The sequence below is a fragment of the Homo sapiens genome, chromosome 15 (genome assembly GCF_000001405.40).
Source record: "Homo sapiens chromosome 15, GRCh38.p14 Primary Assembly".
NCBI lineage: Eukaryota > Metazoa > Chordata > Mammalia > Primates > Hominidae > Homo > Homo sapiens.
Genome location: NC_000015.10, coordinates 48,588,453 through 48,611,338, shown reverse-complemented (window position 1 = coordinate 48,611,338; position 22,886 = coordinate 48,588,453). Strand labels below are relative to the sequence as shown.

Below are 22,886 nucleotides of genomic sequence, written 5' to 3'. Positions count from 1 at the left end.
CAGTGAGCAGAGATTGCGCCACTGCACTCCAGCCTGGGTGACAGAGCGAGACTCCATCTCAAAAAACAAAGCAAAACAAAATAAATTTACAATAAAATTGGCTCCCAAGAGTAATAATGTAATTTTTATATCATTAAATCTTAGAGTTAATATAATAATATATTTCTTGTGATCATATAAATATGTTTAGATGCAGGATTTAATTTGTTTGTTTGGTTTTCTCTTCATAGCCTGTCCTGGGCTTCTGATGGATTGAGTGCTGTGGACTAAGCAAAGAGAGGTTGAGAACCACCGTGACTGGATAAAGGAGTTGTGGATTTTAAAGCCAGAGTTTATTTAGTTCAATAGACTTGTTTTGAAAATGAGTACACCTGAGGCTTAAGGTCATATAAGTCATGATAGCAAAGTTTGTGAGGGACCTGAGAACCCAGGTTTCCTCATTTGAGGATTGGTCCCCTATAACAAATCGTGTTCCAAATCCATGTGCTAACAGACCTCTGGTTTATTCACAGCCATTTGCCGGCATTCCTGTGGGGATGGATTTTGTTCGAGGCCAAATATGTGCACTTGCCCATCTGGTCAGATAGCTCCTTCCTGTGGCTCCAGATCCAGTAAGTCTAACATGTCATTATATATAATATTATTTTATGTGGTTATACCCCATTTTCTCCTAAATTTGATTTTGGCTTTCCTCTTTCCTGCAATACATTTTTTCACTAGAACATCTGCCTTCTCTGTTCTGCCCAAAATACTTGGAAAGGCTTTCCTTCATCTGGCCTCTCATTTCCCTTCTTTACTCTTTATAGGAAAATTACCTATGGGGCATAGTTACTATGAATAGTATAAAGCTTATGGCCTTTTATGTAGGTATCGCCTTATTCATCTTTGTATCTCCAGTGTAAACACCATAAAAGGTGCTCAATGAAATGGTTGTTTAATGGACATTTTTGGCTCAAGAAATCTAGGCATGCTTCCTTGTGGTACTGAAATATGAATCTGATTAAAAACTTATTTAAGACTCAAGACCCCTGCTTTACAAGAAGAAAATGTAAGAAGTCATTATGGAAGTTTCTGGGGGTGATTTATAATGAAGCATAAACATATTTTTCCTTTCAGAATGTTGCCACTTTCTGTGATGCCAGATGAATATCCACAGTTCATTCTTCAGAACCTTTTCTTGCTTGTTCTGTTGTTTTTCTTTTGGGGGTTTGGGCAAGTGAGTCATAATTGGTTGTTTAAAAAGCTGAAGTTCTTGTTTGTATAAACAGCCCCTCAAAACTTTGACCGTCCCCATGGCAAAAAACGTAGGTCCCTTTTCCGTTTCTTTTTGTCCTGTAAGAAAATGCACCCCCCTTATTGTGTGTCCTATTTTGACAAAGTTTTAAAGAAAAACATTGTGGAATAAGTGCATTCTCTTTTGTTTACTGCAAGTAGAGACTTCACTGTGTCAAGGCTCATTACCTGTTAAGAGTCTGAACATTTGAGTGTGTCTCTCACAAGCCAATTAACAGGTTAGGGCAAATTGTCCTGTGTAGCACTCCTGGTGCCCTCTTGCCTCCCTTGGCTTCATGGATGAACACGGGGGACTCTTCCTGAGAGCTTTGTATACTTTTCTGGCCAGAGAGCATGCCAGGTCTGCATGCAGGGCAAGCTGGAAGTGCTGGGGGTTAGTGGACCTGGAAGCAGACTTTTAACCAACAACAGATGGAGAGTGGTTGGATAAGTGCCTCAGCTTCCTTGCCTCTCAGTTTGGATAACCATGAGGTTCACTCTGCACTGTCTCCTGAAGTTCCCCAGTGGGACCGAGCCCTCGCTGTTCACAGTGATAATAGATTTGATAATGTACTTTATTAGCTTCCTTCTCTTTTTGTCTCACTTTCCCACTCTCCTATGAGTGTTTCCTAGAATTACTTTCAGAACAAACTACTTCCATTTAAATTATTGTCTCAGAATCTGCTTCTGGTGGAGCCCACACAGTAACAGCCACCTTTTACTAAATACAGCCAGTTACAATTGGGATAGAAATTGCCCTATGGGCTGGGACTCTTGCTTATTGCACTGAATGTGTAGCATAGTTTTCCTTGATCTCAGCTTGGTGTCAGACATGCATCTTCCGAGTAATAGCAGGTTCATTCTACGTAGCAAGAGCCCCTGAACTGGAGGAATAGAACGAGGCAGAGAAGCCAGCTGGCAGCACATCTGGGAACATGCGGGACATCTCCGTCTCTATAAGGGTGACTTCCAGGCTGCCGCTGAAGCATAAGCATCTCAGGGTTGGAAAAGAAGTGCAGTTATAAAGTTGGGAATAGACCCCATCTCTCAGATTGGTCCCTGAACCAACTAACAACATTGCACTCCTCTGGGGGAAGAAATATAGCCAGATGGCAAAACTGGGTATTAAGTTGGGAAGGTCTTCAATGATAATGTGAACTGATAATGACTTCTCTATCGAGTAGAAATCATGAGATGTGGAGACAGGATGTTAACAAGACCAGAGGGAAAAGCCATGGTCCTGGTAGAATCCAAGTTAACTGTGGGGTGTGACGAGTATAGTAGTAAGGTCCTGGGGCCAGATTTAGTCTAGAGACTAAAATCCAAGACTGTGGGTGGTGCTTTCTGAGGAAGTCTGAGTCATATCTATGGTACCTGGACGTTAGACAAAGTCCCCAAGTAGCTTGTGGATGAGAGTAGTGTAAGGAGGAGGTTCTGGTTTCATCAGGATCTTTGGGGTTACTTGAAATCTTTAAAATTGTTGGCTTTGATTCTCTCTGCACTAATATTGTCTAAATGGCTTGCAAAATTAAAGATGGCAAAATATTTTAAATTAAGGATAGCTGGGGATGATCAGAATTCATTTCTCATCTTTTGGAGTGATGTTCTAGGGAACAGCTGTGCCATTCCACAGAACATCCTGATCACTTTGCTAACTTTCCTGCTAATAGAAGGACAATTCTACTCAGTGAAATGTTTGCATTCACTACATGTGGTTCTACTAAAAAGGATCAATTTAGATCACTGAACGAATTTTTCCTCTGAAAAATTTTATACTTTTTATATGATAGGGATCAAGGAGGTCTAGGCAAGTCGTGGGACCTCAGAGAGGCTTAGTTTTCCCACTTGAATATGAACAGAATGGAAGAAGTGTTGTTCTTTCAGGTGGTTTTTGACTTGAGTGTCCTGTGACTCTGAGAATAGAAAATGATCTCTTAGTGACCTGAATGAGAGATTGCATTTCCAGAAGGTTCAAAGTACCAGCCAGTGATTCTCTTGGACAACAGGAAGTTGTGGCTTCCCTTGGTGCTGGTGGAACTCTCGACACTCGTCATTCAGCACCAGGGCAAAAAGAATGATTGGCTAGACAGCGTCAAAACAGTAGTTTTTCTAGACTTTAATTCCAGCCCTCTTTAGGACTGTTCTTTGCTATGTCAGTCTCTGAGGGTACAGATGGATTTTGAGCAATCCTAATTGTCATAAAGACCTATCATGGTTTACTGATGTATGAATTTACTCATTGTTCTAATATGTGTATACACACATTCAAATATATATTAGCTTGTAACACTGGGATTAATAAACTCTATAACTTTACATATATATTTGTCAGTTTGGGCTTCTATAACAAAATACTGTAGACTGGGTCATTTATAAACAATAAAAATGTATTTTTTTACAGTTCTAGAGGCTGGGAAGTCCAAGATCAAGAGGCCAGCAGATTACATGTCTGGTGAAGGCCTTCTCCTCCTAGATGGTGCTTTCTGTGTGTCCTCACATGGCAGAAGGGACAAACAGGTCTCCCAGGCCTTTTTTTTTTATAAGGATACTAATCCTTTCATGAGGGCTCTGCCTGCATAACTTAATCACCTCCCCAAAGGCCCCACTGCTCCATACTCTCCCATTAGGGACTAAGTTTCAACATATGAATTTTGTGGGGACACAAACATTTAGACAATAATATATATATATATATATATGTATATGTATGTGTATATATATAATTGTCTAATTATATATATAATTATATATGATACATGATAAAAGTTGTTTCCTATAGTTTATATTTTGTAATTTTGTATTTTCTATTTTGTAATTCCTACAGTTTATATTTTGTAATTTTGAAATCTTCTCATTCTGTTTTACTCTTTACACTTTAAGAATGCTAAAAATTAAACTTCATATTCTGAGATAATTGTAGATTTACAAACAGTTGCCTTAGTCTGTTTTCTGCTGCTATAACAGTATACCACAGACTGGATAACTTATAAACAACAAAAGTTTATTTGGCTCGTGGTTCTGGAGGCTGGGAAGTCCAGAGCATGGCACCAATGTCTATAGAGGGCCATCCCATGGTGGAAGGCATCACATGGGGAGCAAGTATGAGAGACAGACAGAAAATGGGGCTGAACTCCCGAGATGACCAACCCACTCCTGAGATAATGGCATAAATCCATTTATGAGGGCAAAGCCCTCATGACCTTATCACGTCTTAAAGGTTCCACCTCTTAATACCATCACAATGATAATTAAATTTCAACATGAGTTTTGGAAGGAACATTCCAACCATGGCAGTTGTAAGAAATCAGAAATATCCTGGGTATTCTTTATTTAGTTTTCCCCATTGTGACATCTTGCAAGACTATAGTACAAGAGCAGAACCAGGATATCACAAAATCAATACAGTTAAGATGCAGAACATTTCCATCACCACAAAGAGCGCTGATGTTACCCTTTTATTGTCATTTTCTTCCCGACATAATTCTCTCTTTAATTCTGACAACCACTAATCTGTTCTACATTTCTATAATTTTTTCATTTCACAAATGTTATATAAATGGAATCACAGAATATGTAACCTTTTGGAAGTGGCTTTTTTCACTCATCAGAATTCTCTGGAGAGTCATCTAGGTTGTTGCAGTATGAACAGCTTGTTATCTTTTATTGCTGAGTAGTAGTACATGCTATGGATGTACCACAAGTTTGTTTGGCCATTCACCTATTGAAGGGCATCTGAGTTGTCATCAGTTTTTTTTTCTTTATTATTTGAACTAAGCTGCTATGAACATTTGTGTACAAGTTTGTGGTGTGAACACAAATCTTATGTTCTCTGGGATAAATACACAGAAATGCAATTTCTAAGTTGTATGATAGTTTCATGTTTAGCATTTTAAGAACTGTCAAACTGTTTTTGGAGTCGCCGTATGTACCATTTTGCATTCTCACCAGCAGTGTATGAATGACCCAGTTTCTCTGCATCCTTACCAGCTTTTGGTGTTGTCTTTATTTTTTATTTTAGCTATTCTGATTGCTGTGTAGTCATCTCTTACTGTGGTTTCAATTTGCATTTCCCTATTGGATAGTGATGTCAAACATCTTTTTATGTGCTTATTGCCACCTGTATATCTTTTTCAGTGAAAGGTCTCTTTATATCTTTTGTCCAGATTCTTATTTTTCATTAAAATAATTTTTTTAGACGGGGTCTTACTCTGTCACCCAGGTTGGAGTACAGTGGTGCGATCTCAGCTCACTGCAACCTCCGTCTCCCAGGCTCAAGTTATCCTCCCACCTCAGCCTCTTGAGTAGCTGGGACTACAGGGGCACACCACCATGCCCCACTAAGTTTTTTGTATTTTTGGTAGAGACAGGGTTTTGCCATGCTGCCCAGGCTGGTCTTGAACTCCTGAGCTCAAGCAATCTGCATGCCTTGGGCTCCCAAAGTGTTGGGATTACAGGCATGAGCCACTGTGCCTGGCCTCTTTTGCCCAGATGCTAATTGAATTGTTTGTTATTTCATTGTTGAGTTTTGAGAATTCTTTGTATACTCTAAATACTAGCTGTTTATCAGATATGTTATTTGCAGGCATTTTATCACACTCTGTAGCTTGCTTTTTAATATTTTTAATGGGATCTTTCATAGAGCAAATGTTTTCAAATTTGAGTAAGTCTAACTTATCAGTTTTCCCTTTACTGGATCATGCTTTCATTGTCAAGTCTAGGAATGCTTTGTCTACTCCTAGATTCTGAAGATTTTCTCCAACTTTTTTCTGATGGTTTCATAGTTTTATTTTTATTTACTTATTCTTTGAGACAGGGTCTTGCTCTGCCACCCAGATGGGTAGGCAGATCTTCCCCACTTTATCCTTTTTTTGTTTTAGCTATTCTAGTTCTTTTCTGTAAAAACTGTAGATTAATCTTGTCTATATTTACAAAACCTTTTAGGATTTTGATAGGAATTGCATCAAACCTGTATATCAATTTGGGGCCCTTTACACTTTTCAAACCCCTTATAGTTTGATCACATTTTCTCATTTAATTTACTTCAATTCAATGAGAGTGTCAGCAGGACCAGTCGCAGACAAAACCTCTCGGACACCGGTTTTAGGAAGGGGCTTTAATCAGCTGGGAGCAAGAGTTTGGGGCATTTGTACTCCCAATGCAAATCTGAGCTCTAAGGGTGTAAGAAGGCCAGCAGAACAATTCTAGACCAGTGTGTTAGCAAGTTTGAGGGAGTATGGTGCAACCATCCTGAAAGTGTGGGGACATTCAGAGGAAGGGAAGGTGGTGCTTTAGCCAGTCTGGAAGAAGTCCTCCTTGAAAAAGCTTTTCAGGGAAGTGTGGGATTTATATGGACTGGGAGGAGAAGCATGCATGGAATCTACTCAGACTTGTCCTTAGAAATGGTTGAACTCTTTGCTTTCTACTCCACCCTTTATGGAAGCACCTTTATCACTACTGTCATTTAACTTGTCCTTCTCTACAGCTTTTCCAGCTTGGCTAGATTTTGTTTGTTTATTTGTTTGTTTGAGAATTTTAGTGAAGTTTCTCTTCCAAGCTGTGTGTCTTTAGGCATCCCCAGACATCTGTTCACTTAAGGGAAATGCCATTGCTGTTATCCCTCTAAATGAAAATTGTTTTTATCCTGCAGTGACTCTGATTGTCCCTGTGGACTCTTGTCTCAGGTGTAGAGTCCAGAAGTTAGTCTAGCTGTTTAATTTGTCTGTCTGTGCTTTTCCTAGTACCTAAATTAAAATCACATGTTCGTCATACAAATGCTTATGTGCAAATTGCTCCCAGTGTTCTTCCTGCCAGTTGTGCCTGCCAAGATGATGGCAGGTCTTTAGAATCATTCCAAACCTAATGCATCCCAAAGAAAATCATTACCTGAGGTATTGAGATCCAGGTGCCAGCCCTGCCTCTCTCTCATTCCCATAGCGTGCTCACATTGTTCTTTTCTGATGAATCATTTAAGAACTAATCTGTGCTGGGCTGTAATCTAAAGAAAATTTCTTCTGCTCTTTCTGGCCAATGCTGCCAAATGAAAGACGTTCAGTAAGTCACTGTTGAATGACTGAAATGACTGACTGACATCTGATATGAACACAAAATTAATTTGGGATCTTTTATGGATATGGGGAGATGGCAACATTTTCTGTTAGCTCTGGGTTATTGAGCCTTACATGAAACCCTTTACGGCTGTCTGCTCGTCTTCAAGGGCAGGTCCTCACTGGGACCCTAGGACACTCAGGGTTCACTGCATATGGCTGGATCTGTGCACTTTGATTCCCCTAGTGTTTTCAATTTCTAGTAAAATCTTAACACAGATTGAGTTTAGGAATATCTTCTGACTTGGGGTACTTAGTGCATCCAGTAAAGAATACAGCATCATTATGGGTGTAGGAGGAACCCCTAGGTTTCAGTTGGCTTTTTTAAGAGACGTAGAACTTGGTCTCCTAATTATGATACATCTAGAATTCTTGTTCAAATCAGTATAAATTTAGAATATGCATCAATGGCAGGACTGAATCCAAAATAAAACCAATTTCGGTATATATTCTCTGTAAACTATTTCCTGCGTGTACAGTGAAACTACGTATCTAGTTCTTTCACTTCCCCACAGAAATCCTGAGCGACTGCTCCCACCTTTATCGGAATGCTTTATTCCCCACTAAAGATCTAAGACTCACAACGAATACAGTTTCCCATGGTTAACACGGTGGCAAAGCAAGTGATTCAGAGCCTATTACCTGTGCTGAGCCTGCCTCCTCCTGGCTTCCCCCAAGGATTCATGCATATGGTTCCTTGATGTCTTCTTGTTTCACAAGTCTGAATGAGTGCTTTTATTTTTTAAAGAAAGAATATTTTATGCTGGAAAAGGTTTGCCTGAAAGACAGGGTAAAAAATATATATCAGGGAGATTTTTTATTATATTGCATTTAATTGTAAACTTACCATTCTTGCCAGAAAGAAGAATTCATTCTGATTTTCAACTTGAACAAATAATGTAAAGTCACTAAACTACTGTTAGCTTTTTTATCTCAAAGTAGTTAAATGGCTTTGTTGCTCATGTGGGAATGGAAATTAGCTCTTGGCATGAACTGCTTTAATTGAAATCAGTTTGAAGGCTGAGTTCCTATGCTGCTTGACAGATGACATCATTTCCTGTGCTTTTCCCAATCCTCACTGTTTTTCTAAGATAGGATGAAGCTAAGTTTAACTTCAAATTTAAAGCAACTATACACCTTTTCATGACCTACTTAGAATATTATTCAAAGTTTTCACTAAATCATTTTTTTTCTTTGTATACGTATAGACAGATTTTTAGTTAAAAAAGCATCTTGGCTGAGATGTTTTAACGGAATCATAAGAGCCTAAAATAACTGCAATCAGTTTCCGGGGTTGCTTGATTTCATTACTCCAACAAAGGAGTTATTTCTGCATTCATACATGGGGAAACAAAGATAAAAATATTTTTAATAGCAACCTACTTAGTAGGGCTGTATAAGTGCCTCGGACACAATGGACAACTTCTAAGTCTCAGTTTGGTCTTTGGGCATGGCTTTTGATGTCATCATCAGGCAGCATGAGTTAAGTAAATAAAAATTAATTTAGCACAGTTTTATACAGCACTTACATATAAAGCAAGGTGCTACTCTAGGCACTTAAGAGGTATTGCATAATTAATGCTCTCCCACTCCCCACTCTGAAGAAGTTTTTAAACAAATGAGATGGGGCAAAATAAGTAAAAATAGGCTGGATTATATAATATATGCTTCAAAAGAGAAATATGAAGTAATTGGAAAGGAGAGAGGGCTCACATTTGGTTTGGGAGATATCAGAAAAGATTAGCGGAAGGAAGCAATATTTGAAATGGGTTTTGGAGATAGATAGGATTTCAGGTTTGGGGGAGAACTGTGTGTGTGTTGTGTTGGGGTTTAGGAGTTAGGGGCAAGGAGACAAAGAGGCAGGTAAGAGAGAGGGTTCTACAGAGGGACTAGGACAAGGAAAGTGCCGGGTGTTTTGCATGGCACATAGTAGGCACTCAGAAATGTTCATTGAGTGAATGAATGACTGATAAGTAGATCAGGGGATGGAGTCATAGGACATAGTGGGCATGTGCCAAGGAGCCTCGAAAGATACCTGGGGCCATGCTGAGGGGACCGTGAATGTGGAGAGATGGAGGTGGCTCTAGTTCAGTAGAAACAGGCCTTTGATGGTGTTTCAGTGTGTGGCATGTTGTTGAAAAGGCATTTAACTTTCAACTCAACCTAACTTCTTTGTGCTGTAAAAGGAAGGGTATAGAAGATAGTGGGTTCTGCACTTTCCTTCCCTGTTGGCAGGCTGAGATTTGTGTAGCTCCTTATAAAAATTGTCCCTTTCTCCTGAAGTCAAGTAGCCACTTTTCAATACCGTGGCTGAGGATTCCTAACAAGGGGTAATGGACAGGGTGGCTGTTGGGAGGAATCTTCTATTTGCTCTGAAGAGAAGATTTGGCCCCTGTGCTTCAGGAAGAGTGAGCATAAACAGCAGATTTCTGCTTTTGTGTAGAAAGAAGATATTCTCTTCTCCTTAGCTAAAATTATCGAACCTTCTTCTCTGAGAATTTACTTCCACAACTTGGAGGACCAGACAGAATAAGCCAAACCTCCAAAGCCCAATCCTGGCCTCCATGTGTAGGCAGGTATCAACAAGGATTAGTGGTTAATTCAATCAAGCTTTGGACTAGGAAATAGCCTAGGATTTTGAAAGTGCTATTAGCATTCCTAAATTACTGACCTAGAGATAGCCTGAACACTGGAGAAATGAGAGCACTTGCCTGCGCTGTTGTCATTGCTCACTATGAGCCCGTGGCTGTCTTTTACTCCAGCTTCTCTGAGTGTCTCATTGTCTGGGGTCTAAGGCTGTCAGCCCATGGTCTTTCTACCCTGGGCCCCGAAATGAACACTTCTGTAGGTGAAAATGAGGATCTTATTTAGTTTGAGGTTACAGTTTAAACAAGCAGCTCTTTCTCAGGCAAATCCAGCTGTCCCTGTCGTCAGGCAGTGTTGTTATTAAATGTCTTTGTAGGTATTTTCTTTTTTCTCTATTCTGCCTCTAAAATTTCTTTTAACAAAATTCTTTGGAATTTGCTACTCTTAACTGTTCCCCTGTGCCATCTACCTGGGATTCTAAATCTTTTCACGGGAAAATTATTGCCATCATAATCTTGTCTCATATGGTTACTCAAGGCAATACTTTCTTGTTGGTATAAATTACAGAAATGACATTGAGTTGTAATTTCTGTTAAATTAAAGAAGTCATTTAGCACTATTAAAGTGAATGCCAGAGAAACAATTGCATTGCATGGTAAATGATTTTTTTTTCTTTCTTTCGCTCGCTCTGTCACTCAGGCTGGAGTACAGTGGTGCGATCTCCGCTCACTACAACCTCTGCCCCCCCAGGTTCAAGCGATTCTCTTGCCTCAGCCTCCGGAGTGGCTGGGATTACAGGCATGCGCCATTACGCCTGGCTAATTTTTGTATTTTTAGTAGGGACGGGGTTCCACCATGTTGGCCAGGCTGGTCTCAAACTCCTGACCTCAGGTGATCCGCCTACCTTGGCCTCCCAAAGTGTTGGGATTACAGGCATGAGCCACTGCGCCTAGCCGGTAAATGATTTTACACACACAAATAATATGTTTAGCATTCTCAATTAGGTCATTATCAGGTAAAAATAGATGAATCCTGATAAGCTATTTGATTTTCTCTTCAAATAACTACAAATCAACTCCTGTGAGCTGTTGCAATCTATGCATTTAAGTTGCAAAAGTGAATTCTTCTTCTTTTTTTTCAAGTACAACACTGCAATATTCGCTGTATGAATGGAGGTAGCTGCAGTGACGATCACTGTCTATGCCAGAAAGGATACATAGGGACTCACTGTGGACAACGTAAGTACACTGTAGTTATAAGTATTCTAGATGTTAACCTGTTTGTAGACAAGTAGAATAAAGAGATAAGTGCTGATGGATTTTCTTCGATTACCTGGGACACAGCATGTTTACAAGTGTCCAGTGACCTTTACAGATGAACAAATCACTTACTCAAAAAACTTAACACCAAATTTCCAATTGGAACCTTGATTGGTTACAGGTTGTTTGATTCATTTTCCTCTCATTTACCTTCACCACCTTGCTTGCCTGATCTCCTTGATTTCTAGTCACCACCAAAGGAGCAGAATTCTTGTTCATTCCAGACACATACCTTCCACCCACTTGCTGAACTTCAACACTTGGATTTTCAGGAAGCATCTCAAATAAAGTATTTCAAAACTCAGCCTCATCATTCTCTCTAAACATGTCCTTTATCTTGATTGGTGGTATCTGCATCCCTCTCATTTCCTAATCTAGATTCTGCTACCGAAGTACTTATCACATGGTGTTCAGTTTGAAGGTTCATTTGCACACACCATTTATTGTATCTACTTTCTACCAGTCCCTGTGCTTTGCAGAAGACGAACATTCTTTTTAAAAACCTTGTTTTTTTTTTTTGTTACTTTAAGATGAGCATATATACCCTACAGAAAATTTGGAAAAGTTTAAAAATACAAAAAGTAAAATTATTCGTGATTTCATCATTCCAGATAGTATCTTCTAGACTTGTAATGCATATTTGGTACATGAGTTCTTACTGTATATATAGTTTTTGTACCACTTTTTCACTTAATACTTTATTCAAAGTATGCTCATTACACATTTTAAAATACATTTTAATGGTTGCCTAGTACTCTATTACCTGGATGTTTGACTGTTTATTTAATGAATCCTCAATGGTGGGCGTTATTCAGGGCGTTTCTAATTTTTGCTTTTGTGTATATATTTATTAGGATTAATAATGTTATTATAAATAAACAAAAATGTAGAGAATGCCCTAGTGACCATCTGTGTTAGTCTGTTTTCATGCTGCTGATAAAGACATACCCAAGACTGGCCAATTTATAAAAGAAAGAGGTTTATTGGACTTACAGTTCCACATGGCTGGGGAGGCTTCATAATCATGGTGGAAGGCAGGGAGCAACAAGTCACGTCTTACATGGATGGCAGCAGGCAGAAAGAGCTTGTGCAGGAAAACTCCCCCTTATGATAACCATCAGATCTTGTGAGACTTACTGTTATGGGAACAGCATGGGAAAGAGACCTGCCCCCATGATTCAATTACTTCCCACCTCCCACAACATATGAGAATTCAAGATGAGATTTGGGTGGTGACACAGCCAAACTGTATCACCATCCACACACTGCAGTGGGAGAAGAATATTGGTTGAGTTTTGTGTAGCCCAGCCTGGAGAGAGGAGAGGCAGCCTCCGCAGTGTGGGTGATCCTTGGGCTGAGTCTTGAGGGATGGGTAGGAGCTTACCTGTCAGGTGATGGGGAATGGACCTTTTTGGGCAGATGGTAGAGCATGACCAAAGCACCAGCACAAGACACAGCAAGGGATGTGGGACATAGCAAGTGCTTTGGTGTTGCTAGAGCTTAAATGCAGAGGAGAGTGAGGGGAAAGGAAGTAAGGTCAGATAGGATGTCATGGGCCAGGTTTTGATGCCTTTATACATACTATGTTTTCTTCCAAAGTAGGGCTAGGAAAGAAGAGTGAGACCACAACAATAAACAACACTAACAACATCAATAACCTACATCTTTTCAGTTACTCTGTGCTTACTGTGTGCTAGGCACATTTTAGAACTCTATGTGTGTTAACTCATTTAATATGACAACAACTCTTTGTATTAGAGGACATAAATGTTACCCTCTGGCAGATGAGGGAACTGGAACACAGGGACCTCAGTAGTTCCTCTAAGGGTATATAGATGGTAATCGGCAGAGTTGGGGTTGGAACCCAAGCAGTCTGACTCCATAGCCCATGTGTTTACTCTTGTGAAATACCAACCTTATTACCCTTCACTTACGAAGGTTTACAGTGAGAAAGATCACAGTGTGGAAGCGCAACTGGAGGAGGACAAAACAGGAGCAGGAAGACAAGTCCTAACTAAGGCTATGGCTGTGGAGATGGCGAGATGGGGCTGGATCCCAAGGCATTCCAGGAGAATCAGGAGGGGCTGCTGGGCATCTCTTCTGCTCCCCTTGGTGCTCCCTGAGGGAGTTTAGCCCAATGCCCAACACACAAGTGCTTAATTAACACTGGCAGAATTAGAAAACTTTTCCTAAACTTCAGCTTCCTCATCTGTAATCTGGGAGGGTTGGCTTAGGCAAGCTCAAAATTTCTTTTCTGTTTAGAAGCTCTTCATTCTCCCTGACTATAAATCAAGAGGCAAAGAAGACAATTAATTTACATAAACCTCTCTGGTTATATGATGAGTAATGGCCTCCTGCCATAATTTTTGGTTAAAAAGGGTTGTGTCAGTTCAGGTCCTCTTATGCCAAGAAAATATCAAGACAGAATTAGACATAAAAGAGAATTTATTGGGGAAAAGACCCGTGAAGAATAAAGGAAAGAGGAAGCAGAAGTAGGAGGGAATGGTCTTCAGACCATGATGCCTGTCTGATCCTGTGCAAGGAGGGAGGGAAGGAAGGACAATTGCATAGAAGGAACTTCAGCCTGTAGTGCAGCTCCAAAAAGCCATAGCCAGGTTGATGGAGAACCCAGGGCAAAAAGTGCCCATCAAAGAGTTCCATGATGGGTGGAAATAGCCAGGCTTTAGTATCCTAATGCTGTGTTTAGTCATTGGCTGTGAGCCTGCCCTTGACATGAACATTGCAGCAGATCTGAAGGTACAGCAGCTGGAAGTGGTCTGCCAGCTAAACTTGCAGGAGATTCTCTTGAGGGAAAGTATGAGTGGCTCAACTTCATGGCTGCTATAGGGTAATGTATGGAAAAATGTATAGAAAATATATAAGGAGCAAGGAATTTGAATGGAGGTTTTGGGGGAGCCTCATGGAGCAGTAAGATTTCAGCTGGGCTTTGAAGAGTGGGTGGAACTGACATATTTGGCAGAGAAGAGCCTGCCACGCATGACGAAGATGCCTAGAAAGAGCCCATGCATGCACGAGTTACAGGAACTTGTACAAAGAGGAGTTGTTCAGCACATGAACTTTCAATTCTTATTTTAATGTCATTTCTAACAAGCAAAATATCCTGCCCTGAAGCATCTCTAGATTTACTGCACCAATAGTTTCCGTAAGTTCTGTTATAACTCTCAATTGGATTTTCATTATGGTACTTAAATTACTGAAGATCATTAGTAGTATTTTGTTGTTTGCAGTTAATTGTGCAATTGAACTTGCTACATTTCTGTAATGGTGACATCAGAGGGGCTGATATTTCCCCTCATGGGAGCCCTGTTGCAATTAAACGTAAATCATAAGCAAAAGAGTCTTTGCTAACACACAGTTCCCATTCAGTGACATCTCTTAGAAACCACTGTTTTCGAGGTTAAACTGAAAGCATTGCTCAGATGCTTCACGGAATGAGACCATCAGCATTAACATAGATACAAACTCATCTATTCCAGGCAGCTTTACCTAAGAGTGGACTGAGGAATATCTGAGTATGTGTAACTGTAGAGTGACCGTCCAAAACAAACACCAGGGTGACTTTAGACATTTTATTGTTGTCCTTCCAGAGGACCACAAGTGTTACTTCATTAGCATTTATTTTCAGGTAAAGCGTCTCAGCTCTCTCCTTATTTTACAGCTGTTTGTGAAAGTGGCTGTCTCAATGGAGGAAGGTGTGTGGCCCCAAATCGATGTGCATGCACTTACGGATTTACTGGACCCCAGTGTGAAAGAGGTAATGGTTTTTAAAATCATTTACGTAAAGACATGCTGGTACCTAAAGCTGTTACTAATTTGCACAGACATTGGGTCTGCATGGCTACTTCCTGAATGTTGCTGAGCTTTGAGGGGATTTCTCATTTGTCATTGGGAAGGTCCCTAGGATGACAAGACAGCGGCCCTGAATCTATGCATGATATTCGGCAATGTTTGTCAGTCCAAGTTTACCTAAATTCAGTTATTTGCTAATTTGGTGGTACTCAGTTATGAGTGTATACATAATTACCAGTTGGCATCAGGATAAAAAGGGGAGAACTTTCTTCTGTAAGGGTAAGGATTAAGCTCTTTATTATGCCAGTGAATTAAGTGGTCTTGAACAAAACATATGTATGGAAAGGGAGAATTTCAGTATGAAAAGCACACCTAAAGATCTGTTGGACCTGTTGGGGGCTGTAGAGGTGTACAAGCTCAGCATTCAACACTCACCATAGATATATTGAGTGTCTGCTGAGAAGCTACTTTGTGTAGATGGTTTATTCAGTACTCATCGCAGCCTGCTAGAGTGTGTAGAATTATCCTTAATTTTGCATATGAGAAGATGAAGGCACAAAGAGGTCCAGGGATGTCCCCAAGGCCACATACATAAGAAACCTTTAATTTGAATGTGTGTTTTGTCTCTTCAAGTCTAATGTTTACTGCTGCTCTTAATTAAAAGAAACATTCTACCTGATTTGCCTACCTAAAAATACAAGTATGATATTGAGATATGTGTGGATATGCAATATTCTTAAGTTTTTTTCCCTGAACTTTGGTCTTACTAATAATCTTGTCTCTACATTTATAGATTTTTTTCTCATCATCCCTAGTTTTATAATGAAAGTTTAGAAGTTTTATGTTACACAAAACTGTAATTGAAAATTTGCATGAACTTTTAAACTGCAGTAATCACTTTTAGCCAAAGTTGTATAGACATCTTATTCTAAGATGGAAAGTAAAGATTCAGTAGCAGATGTTGAATATGTCATTTAAAACATGTAATAGAGGAAAACAAAGAGCAGAGAGTGGTTTGTGAGAAATTATTTTCTGTCTGTGTTTATAATTTATCTAAATTCAGTTATTTGCTAATAATGCAGTAATACCTATTTGAGCAAGAAATTCCAGGTCGATTACTTTGATTACTAGGTAAATTACATTGTATCTCTATTAATGGGACCACTGCATGGTATTGATGTGTAATGCATAATAGACCTTTACATTGCATGTTGATATCCTTTAGGAGTCCCTCCTTAAACTGCTTCTCTTTACAACTTGCACAGATGTGTTTTTATTCGCTAATAATTATAATGGTCCAGAGTACTAAAAACTATTTCTTCTAGGCAATATCATTCTGTGGCCTTATTACTTAATCAGGGAAGTTGTAGGAGATTAAAATTGTTAATGTGTAGCTTGAGGAGTGGTGTGTGAAAATAATTTCTCAGATGATAATGCTGGGCATAATTTGTTTTAGAAAAATCACTAATAAGATGAAGTTACAGGGCATTTTACCTGTAACATTTTACCTGTAACCATTTTAACAAAGTGGTTAAAGATTTGCTGCAAAGACTATTGATGCTCATAGTTGATATTGATGATAACACAGTCTAAAATAAAGGGCATGATATTGAACCATTCCACAGTGATTTCTTCAAAGATTTGATCTTTGTCCAAGATTAAGAAATGTCCTGAATGGGTTAAATTACTAAGCTACTAATCAAAACTGGCATGTTACTCAGAGGTTTCTCCAAGTTTGGGGGTGTCTTCAACTGCTCCCCTTCAGGAAAAAGGGCTATCCTGAAATCTGCACTAAGGTGTAAATATCTGTTGACTCCATAGAATTTTCCCAGTGGTGATTTTCAAAATCAAATTCATCCCCAAGTGGCAGATTTTCAGGCATTTGTGGTAGTGGAGACTGGAGAGCAGAAGGCAGGCTTGCCCGTTAGTAGCAGAAGGGTAGTGCCATCTACCCACTGCCTGTTTTACCCACGGGTACAGTCCCAGACCTTCAATGGGAGAAGAAAAACATGGGTGTCATTTCCCACACCACATGGGAGAGAGGAGTCTTTTTGATTCCAGAATTCTATTTCCATTTGTAGAGTCTTCACTGTTTGCTGCTCTTATGAAAGTCACCTGCTTACCTCTTTGAAGAATTAGAGGCAGTAGATTCTCTTACTTAGATGTATGTTCGTGATTTCAAGAGTGATGAATAAAAATCTGATACCGAGTCAGGACAGATCCATCCTGAAGTGTGGGGAAGTATTCAGGGTGACTTCCGATGGTGGGTTGGTATACTTATTGTGGTGCTTATTACTGGATAAGTACCTAGGTTGGTTGTATTCTGTTTTAACTGGGATGTGATGTTTATTTTTTAAAGTGCAGATCCGGGAGGCCTTTACTACTTTCCTTTCTCCCTTCATCTACATTTTCCCTTAGTACTCTCTCCACATCTCTTTTTATAGCATTTACTGCATTGCATCAAAACAGCAAGTTTCCAATCTCCCTCACTAGAGCATAAGTTTTCAGGAGCAACTATAGTTTCTTCATCTTCTTAATTCTAGCCTTACTGTGTGATGCACAGTACACGACCCATAGATGATGAACTGGATTCATTTAATAGCATCAAAAAATCTGGAGATATAATGATCGGATATGAACAAGTATCTCCTGGAAATAATTGCTGTTTGCCAACAGTCCTGGATATTGATTTCATTGGTTTCATGCTAAACAGAGCTGATTACAATGTTGATATCTAATTGAATTTGGTCCCATCTTTCAGAAGAATGATCTTTCAGGTCCACAAGACTGTCATTTTTCAGTTAACAGGGATGCAAAAAGGAGGAATGTTTTGATCAAAACTAAGTGGCAATAAAAACAAAAGCAAAAACCTCTTATCATGATATAATACACATGTAAGGGAACATTTAGAATGTCAGTTACAAGTACTTCTCAGGATAAAGATCTATGTCCCTGGGAGACCTTGGAACTTTTATACATTAATAACTACCTCAGAGACCCACTATGAGTGTGAAATACGCCTTTGGGGGTCATACTGGCAGGATTTGTATCACATTAAGCCAATAAGTCAATCTTAATCATCCATGAACATAGTATTTTGGTTTTGTGATGGAGAGAAGCAGCAGATCTCATGCTTGAATTATGAATCATAATAGTCATATAACAGTGTAATAAGATTATAAAGCAATTAGTCTTACTTGCAGCTTTTTGTCATTAAGATAAGTTTGTTTAAAAACATTCTTGGCTGGCCAGCCTCATCCCCAGTGGGCAGGTAGCAATGATATATTTTACCATTGCCACTACCATTGTTTCTCTACACCCAGAGGATAAAAAATAGAGACCTGTGGCTTATTTGGCCTGTGATGTCTACTTTTTAAAAGCTGAATAGGAATACCTTTAAATACATCTTCTAGTTTGTCATAGTCCCCACCACTACCTATTGTCACATCTTGCTCAAGTTCATTCATTTAGCTTAGGTATTAGCCCTTGTGAGCATTCAAGTTTGCCACCTCCTGCTGCTTTCTCTGTCAAAGATTGTGTCTTTATTTTTTTTAACCACAAGTTTCTTTAATTTTTCTTCCTGTCACTTTTTTTTGGTAAGTTCACATTTGTGGTTTTCTTGTTGCCTCCTACTCCGACCCTTTGCCTTCTCTTTGCTTGGGCCTTGAGCAACTAGTAGAACTTAATCACTTCTTAGCTCAGTGGTACAGTATGTTAGCATTTGTTATCAGATTATTGAAGTGAGGTCAGTGCCTGTTTTGGCAATGACAATACAAGCTAGTCGTATATTGCCATAGTTACTGCTAACAAAAAAACTGTGTGGAATCCCTTTCTCTTGCCATCTTGCCTCAGAATGCACATTTAAAATCTTGTTAAATGCCTTTGTATTAAACACAGTGAATCATATGAGTGGATGAGACTTTTCAGGGTCATGTCAAAAGAGAAAAGAATGATGGAGATAGACCTGAACTTGGAGATGGGGGTGGGGTGTGATGATGAATAGGCTTAGGGAAGAAGAGAAACAAAGAGATACAGCAAGAGAACCAGGAGAGCATTGAACCAAACAAACAAAAAGGAGTTCAAGAAATAACTTGGCAATTGTTAGACTCATCGAAGGTCTGAGAATGAGAATCATAAAGCGGCCATTGGACGTAAGAACAGCTGACATGTACTGAGTACTTGCAGTGTGCCAGGGGGTGTGCTAAGCACTTCACTTTGATGATTTGCAACAACCTTATGAGAAAAGTCCTGTAATAAGTCCCATCTTATGGAGGAATAAGCAGAGGCAAAGAGAGATCAAGTGCCTTGTCCAAGAAGGGACAGCTTATAAGTGGTAAAATAGAGGCCTGAACCTAGACATTCTGGCTCCTAAGCCTGTGCACATAGCCACTGTGTAGTACTTGGACTTCACTGGAAAGGGGCCACTCGTAACTCTAAAGACCTCACTGGAAAGGGGCCACTCATAACTCTAAAGACCTCACTGGAAAGGGGCCACTCGTAACTCTGAAGACCTCACTGGAAAGGGGCCACTCATAACTCTAAAGACTTTTCTGAGGAACGGTAAGAAGAAACCTAGAACTATGAATCTTAGAATGGAAGTCAAGATGAAAAGGCAAAAGAAAGGATTCTTGCATATTCTTGGATGTTTCAAATGTAGGGTTTTGGAATATTCCTCTATTTGATTGATTTCAACGTACGAATCTGCTCTTGGAAAGAGAGAGATTCCTGTGTGTTTACAGGACATATAAATGTGCTCCAAAGGACTGAACTAACATGCCTGGAAGTAGACATATGGAATGAATATTGTCATTTAGTGCAGTTATCATGGAAAGTTATATCATTTTCTTGTAATATTACAACAGCTCAAAATGTGTTTGGAACTCTTTTTTGGAGGTGCCTTTACAGAATCAGCAATACATTCAAATCAGTGTGTGATTTTTTTTTTTCCCTTTTGAGGAGGCATTTGAGTTTTCAGAAACAGCCTACAGTAATTTACTGTTAATTCTAGTGACTACAGTGGGTAATCACACATTTTAGCTGTTTGGGATCAAAAGCAGACTTAGATTTAAAAAATACTAAAAATAATTTTCTCATGTGGTTCATAAAGCACATGGAATTGGTTTAATGTTTTAATGTCAAACTTTATGTGAGCCAGAGGATGAAGCCTTTTGGAAGCATAAATGCAAATAGCAAGAAGTTTTCTCTCATTTCTCCATCTGAAGCTGCTCATCATGTATCCTCAGAATATTAGCATGCACGTGGACTCTTCTAAATCCTGGTGCATTTGTTCTGTGTTAAATTCCTACCCAAGTCTAAACTGTGAAGACAATACTTGGATTTCTGCCAACTTAAGAAAGTCTGTTGGCTGTTATGCTGGCTATCAGTAGATAAAGTATAGGGGAAAGCATTGTTGAACTGATAGCCTTAAGGAAAAGGAACAATTGGGGCCAAAGTGGAGTAGAATAAAAATGAGAGGATTGAAATAATCCTTAGTTCATTAGAGAAGCAGAACAGTTGAAAGTGAACTAGCTCTTCATGCAGGTACTTGCTTCCTAGGAAATTACAGTCTTAATGAAGCTGAAAAGGTTTTTGTATTTGTTAGCACAACAATGAAACAGAATAGAACAAACAACAGCTAGGTTGATTGTAATTCCACCTCCTTCTTATATGTGCAGTTGACGTTTGAGAAACTTGTCCTCACACCTTGTTTCTCTGATGATGTAAAAATGATTTTGCACAGATATCTTTCTAATGATTTTATTGAATGACTTTCAAAAATACTACATTAAGCAGTTGATAAACACATATTATATAAATCCAAAAAGGCAGCATCTATACTGTGTCTAGTGAATGGAAAGGACTAACATGTAATTATCCAAATATATAATAATCAGATAGTCCATTTTGGAAACACCTGCTTCGAAAAAGAAAGTAAAAACTTTACCTTATCTCAAGACCTGTTTAGAGAGCTTCATGGAATCAGGAGCTGATTTTCCTGTGCTTTTTTTCTCCTGGTGTTTTTCAGGAAGGTATTAATAAAATACAGATTCATTATTATTTTTTCTCTATGTAGAAGTAAGTTTTACAGAGCTGCATTTCTGACACGAATTTTACATAATTTTAAATTGTAGGTGGCTATCACTAAAGTTCCCAAGGTAATGCCACAGGCTAACTCCCATTCTCCATGTGCCTTTGGAAGGCAGAGCTCTGTGAACTATGTATATTTTCTTCTTTCCAAAAGCAAAAGGCAGTAAACTGTCATTACTAAACTACACTGAAGGCCTCTATGAACCTCTCTTTTGGTATTTAGTTTCAATGGAAAGTAACAATGTGGCAGGGCGTGGTGGCTCACGCCTGTAATCCCAGCACTTTGGGAGGCCGGGGCAGGCGAATCACGAGGTCAGGAGATCGAGACCATCCTGGCTCTACTGTGAAACCCTGTCTCTACTACAAATAGAAAAACAAAATTAGCCGGGCGTGGTGGTGGGCACCTATAGTCCCAGTTACTCGGGAGGCTGAAGCGGGAGAATGGCGTGAACCCAGGAGGTGGAGCTTGCAGTGAGCCGAGATCACGCCACTGCACTCCAGCCTGGGCGACAGAGCGAGACGCCATCTCAAAAAAAAAAAAAAAAAAAAAAGAAAGTAACAATGTGTAGATAGCAGGGGCACAATGCCCTAAATGTTACTGTGCGTCTACAGTGGTATTGCAACATTTGTGGCAGCTGGTGGATCACTGAATAAACTAGATTTTCCTAGAATAGTTCCAGGAATTGCATCTTTTGACACACACACTCGTTTTTTTGTGGCTGGGTAACTGTATACACTGAGGGCACACATGCTCCTCTGTCTCGCAGGCTGCACATATGTGGTATGAACAAGCAGTGGGGATGGGATGCAACCAGAAAGAAGCTTGATTTTTGTCTCCCACTCACTGTCCCTCTCGGCCCACTTTGTAGGCTACTTCTTCTCCTGCTGGTAGATGAAATCATCTGGTCTGTTTTGGACTTTCTCCCCTATAGTTCCTTTAATGGGGGCAGAGGCATCTGTGTTCTGACTGTTGCTGACATTTTCTTCCTCAGTCGCTGGGCATCCAGTGGTACTTCCAGCCTCTTGAGTTCTCTTTGCTGCTCCAAGGAGCCATCTGGGAAAGGAGCTAGGCTCAGTCCACATCAGCTTTCTTTTTGGCGGCCCCTAGCTTGTTGGCAGAAAACATTCATGCATTTTTTCTGCCACGATAAATTGCTGGAGTGCAAACTATTGACACGTTAGCAAATGCTCATTGGAACCATTGTCCAAGCATCTGGCCAGACAGTTTCCAGGCATTTGACAGTCCCTAGTCCACAGTGTCCTCCAGACTTCTGGGGATAGGTATCATGCAATCTGAGGAGTCTCCCTGAAGCCTCTCTCATGACTTGGCATCATAATGTGGCCCTTCACCAGTTTCCCAGGAAGGGCTAGTAACAGCCCAGCTCTCTCCAGAGTAACCCGCTTCCCATCACTTGCTACTTTGGACATTTGAATACTCTTGATATGCATAAAGGTTTAAGAGGTCATCATCACCCACTTTGCAAATTATGCATCAAAATATCACACTTGACTTAGAATGTGGCATCTGTTCCCTTGGTGGTTCAATTGAAATTTTGATTCTAACATTCTCTTGTGTTATCAAAGCTAATCATTTAGTACAACTGTTAAATTTAGTGTCATGGTTTCATCTTCAAAAACAGTTTTTTTAACTTCATTTTTTTTTAGCTCTTATGAACTTATTAAAAAGATAAAACTAATTTTTATATGT

At 39.6% G+C, this 22,886-nt stretch overlaps 1 protein-coding gene across 3 annotated transcripts in view, besides 1 other annotated feature; it reads left to right on the top strand.

The window, feature by feature from the left end:
* FBN1 (fibrillin 1) overlaps positions 1–22,886 on the top strand; it is a 237,397-nt gene that overhangs the window by 34,371 nt on the left and 180,140 nt on the right. For all 3 annotated transcript variants that reach the window (NM_000138.5, NM_001406716.1, NM_001406717.1), the window contains 3 exons: positions 513–611; positions 11,105–11,200; positions 14,961–15,056. In NM_000138.5, the coding sequence (NP_000129.3) occupies positions 513–611; positions 11,105–11,200; positions 14,961–15,056 (291 nt within the window). The remainder of the gene's footprint in view (positions 1–512; positions 612–11,104; positions 11,201–14,960; positions 15,057–22,886) is intronic.
* Positions 15,091–15,260: an enhancer, noted in NCBI's record as "active region_9375". NCBI's record gives its function as "activates an Ori minimal core promoter by ATAC-STARR-seq in GM12878 lymphoblastoid cells {active_cell/tissue: GM12878}" and the evidence as "EXISTENCE:reporter gene assay evidence [ECO:0000049][PMID:35858748]".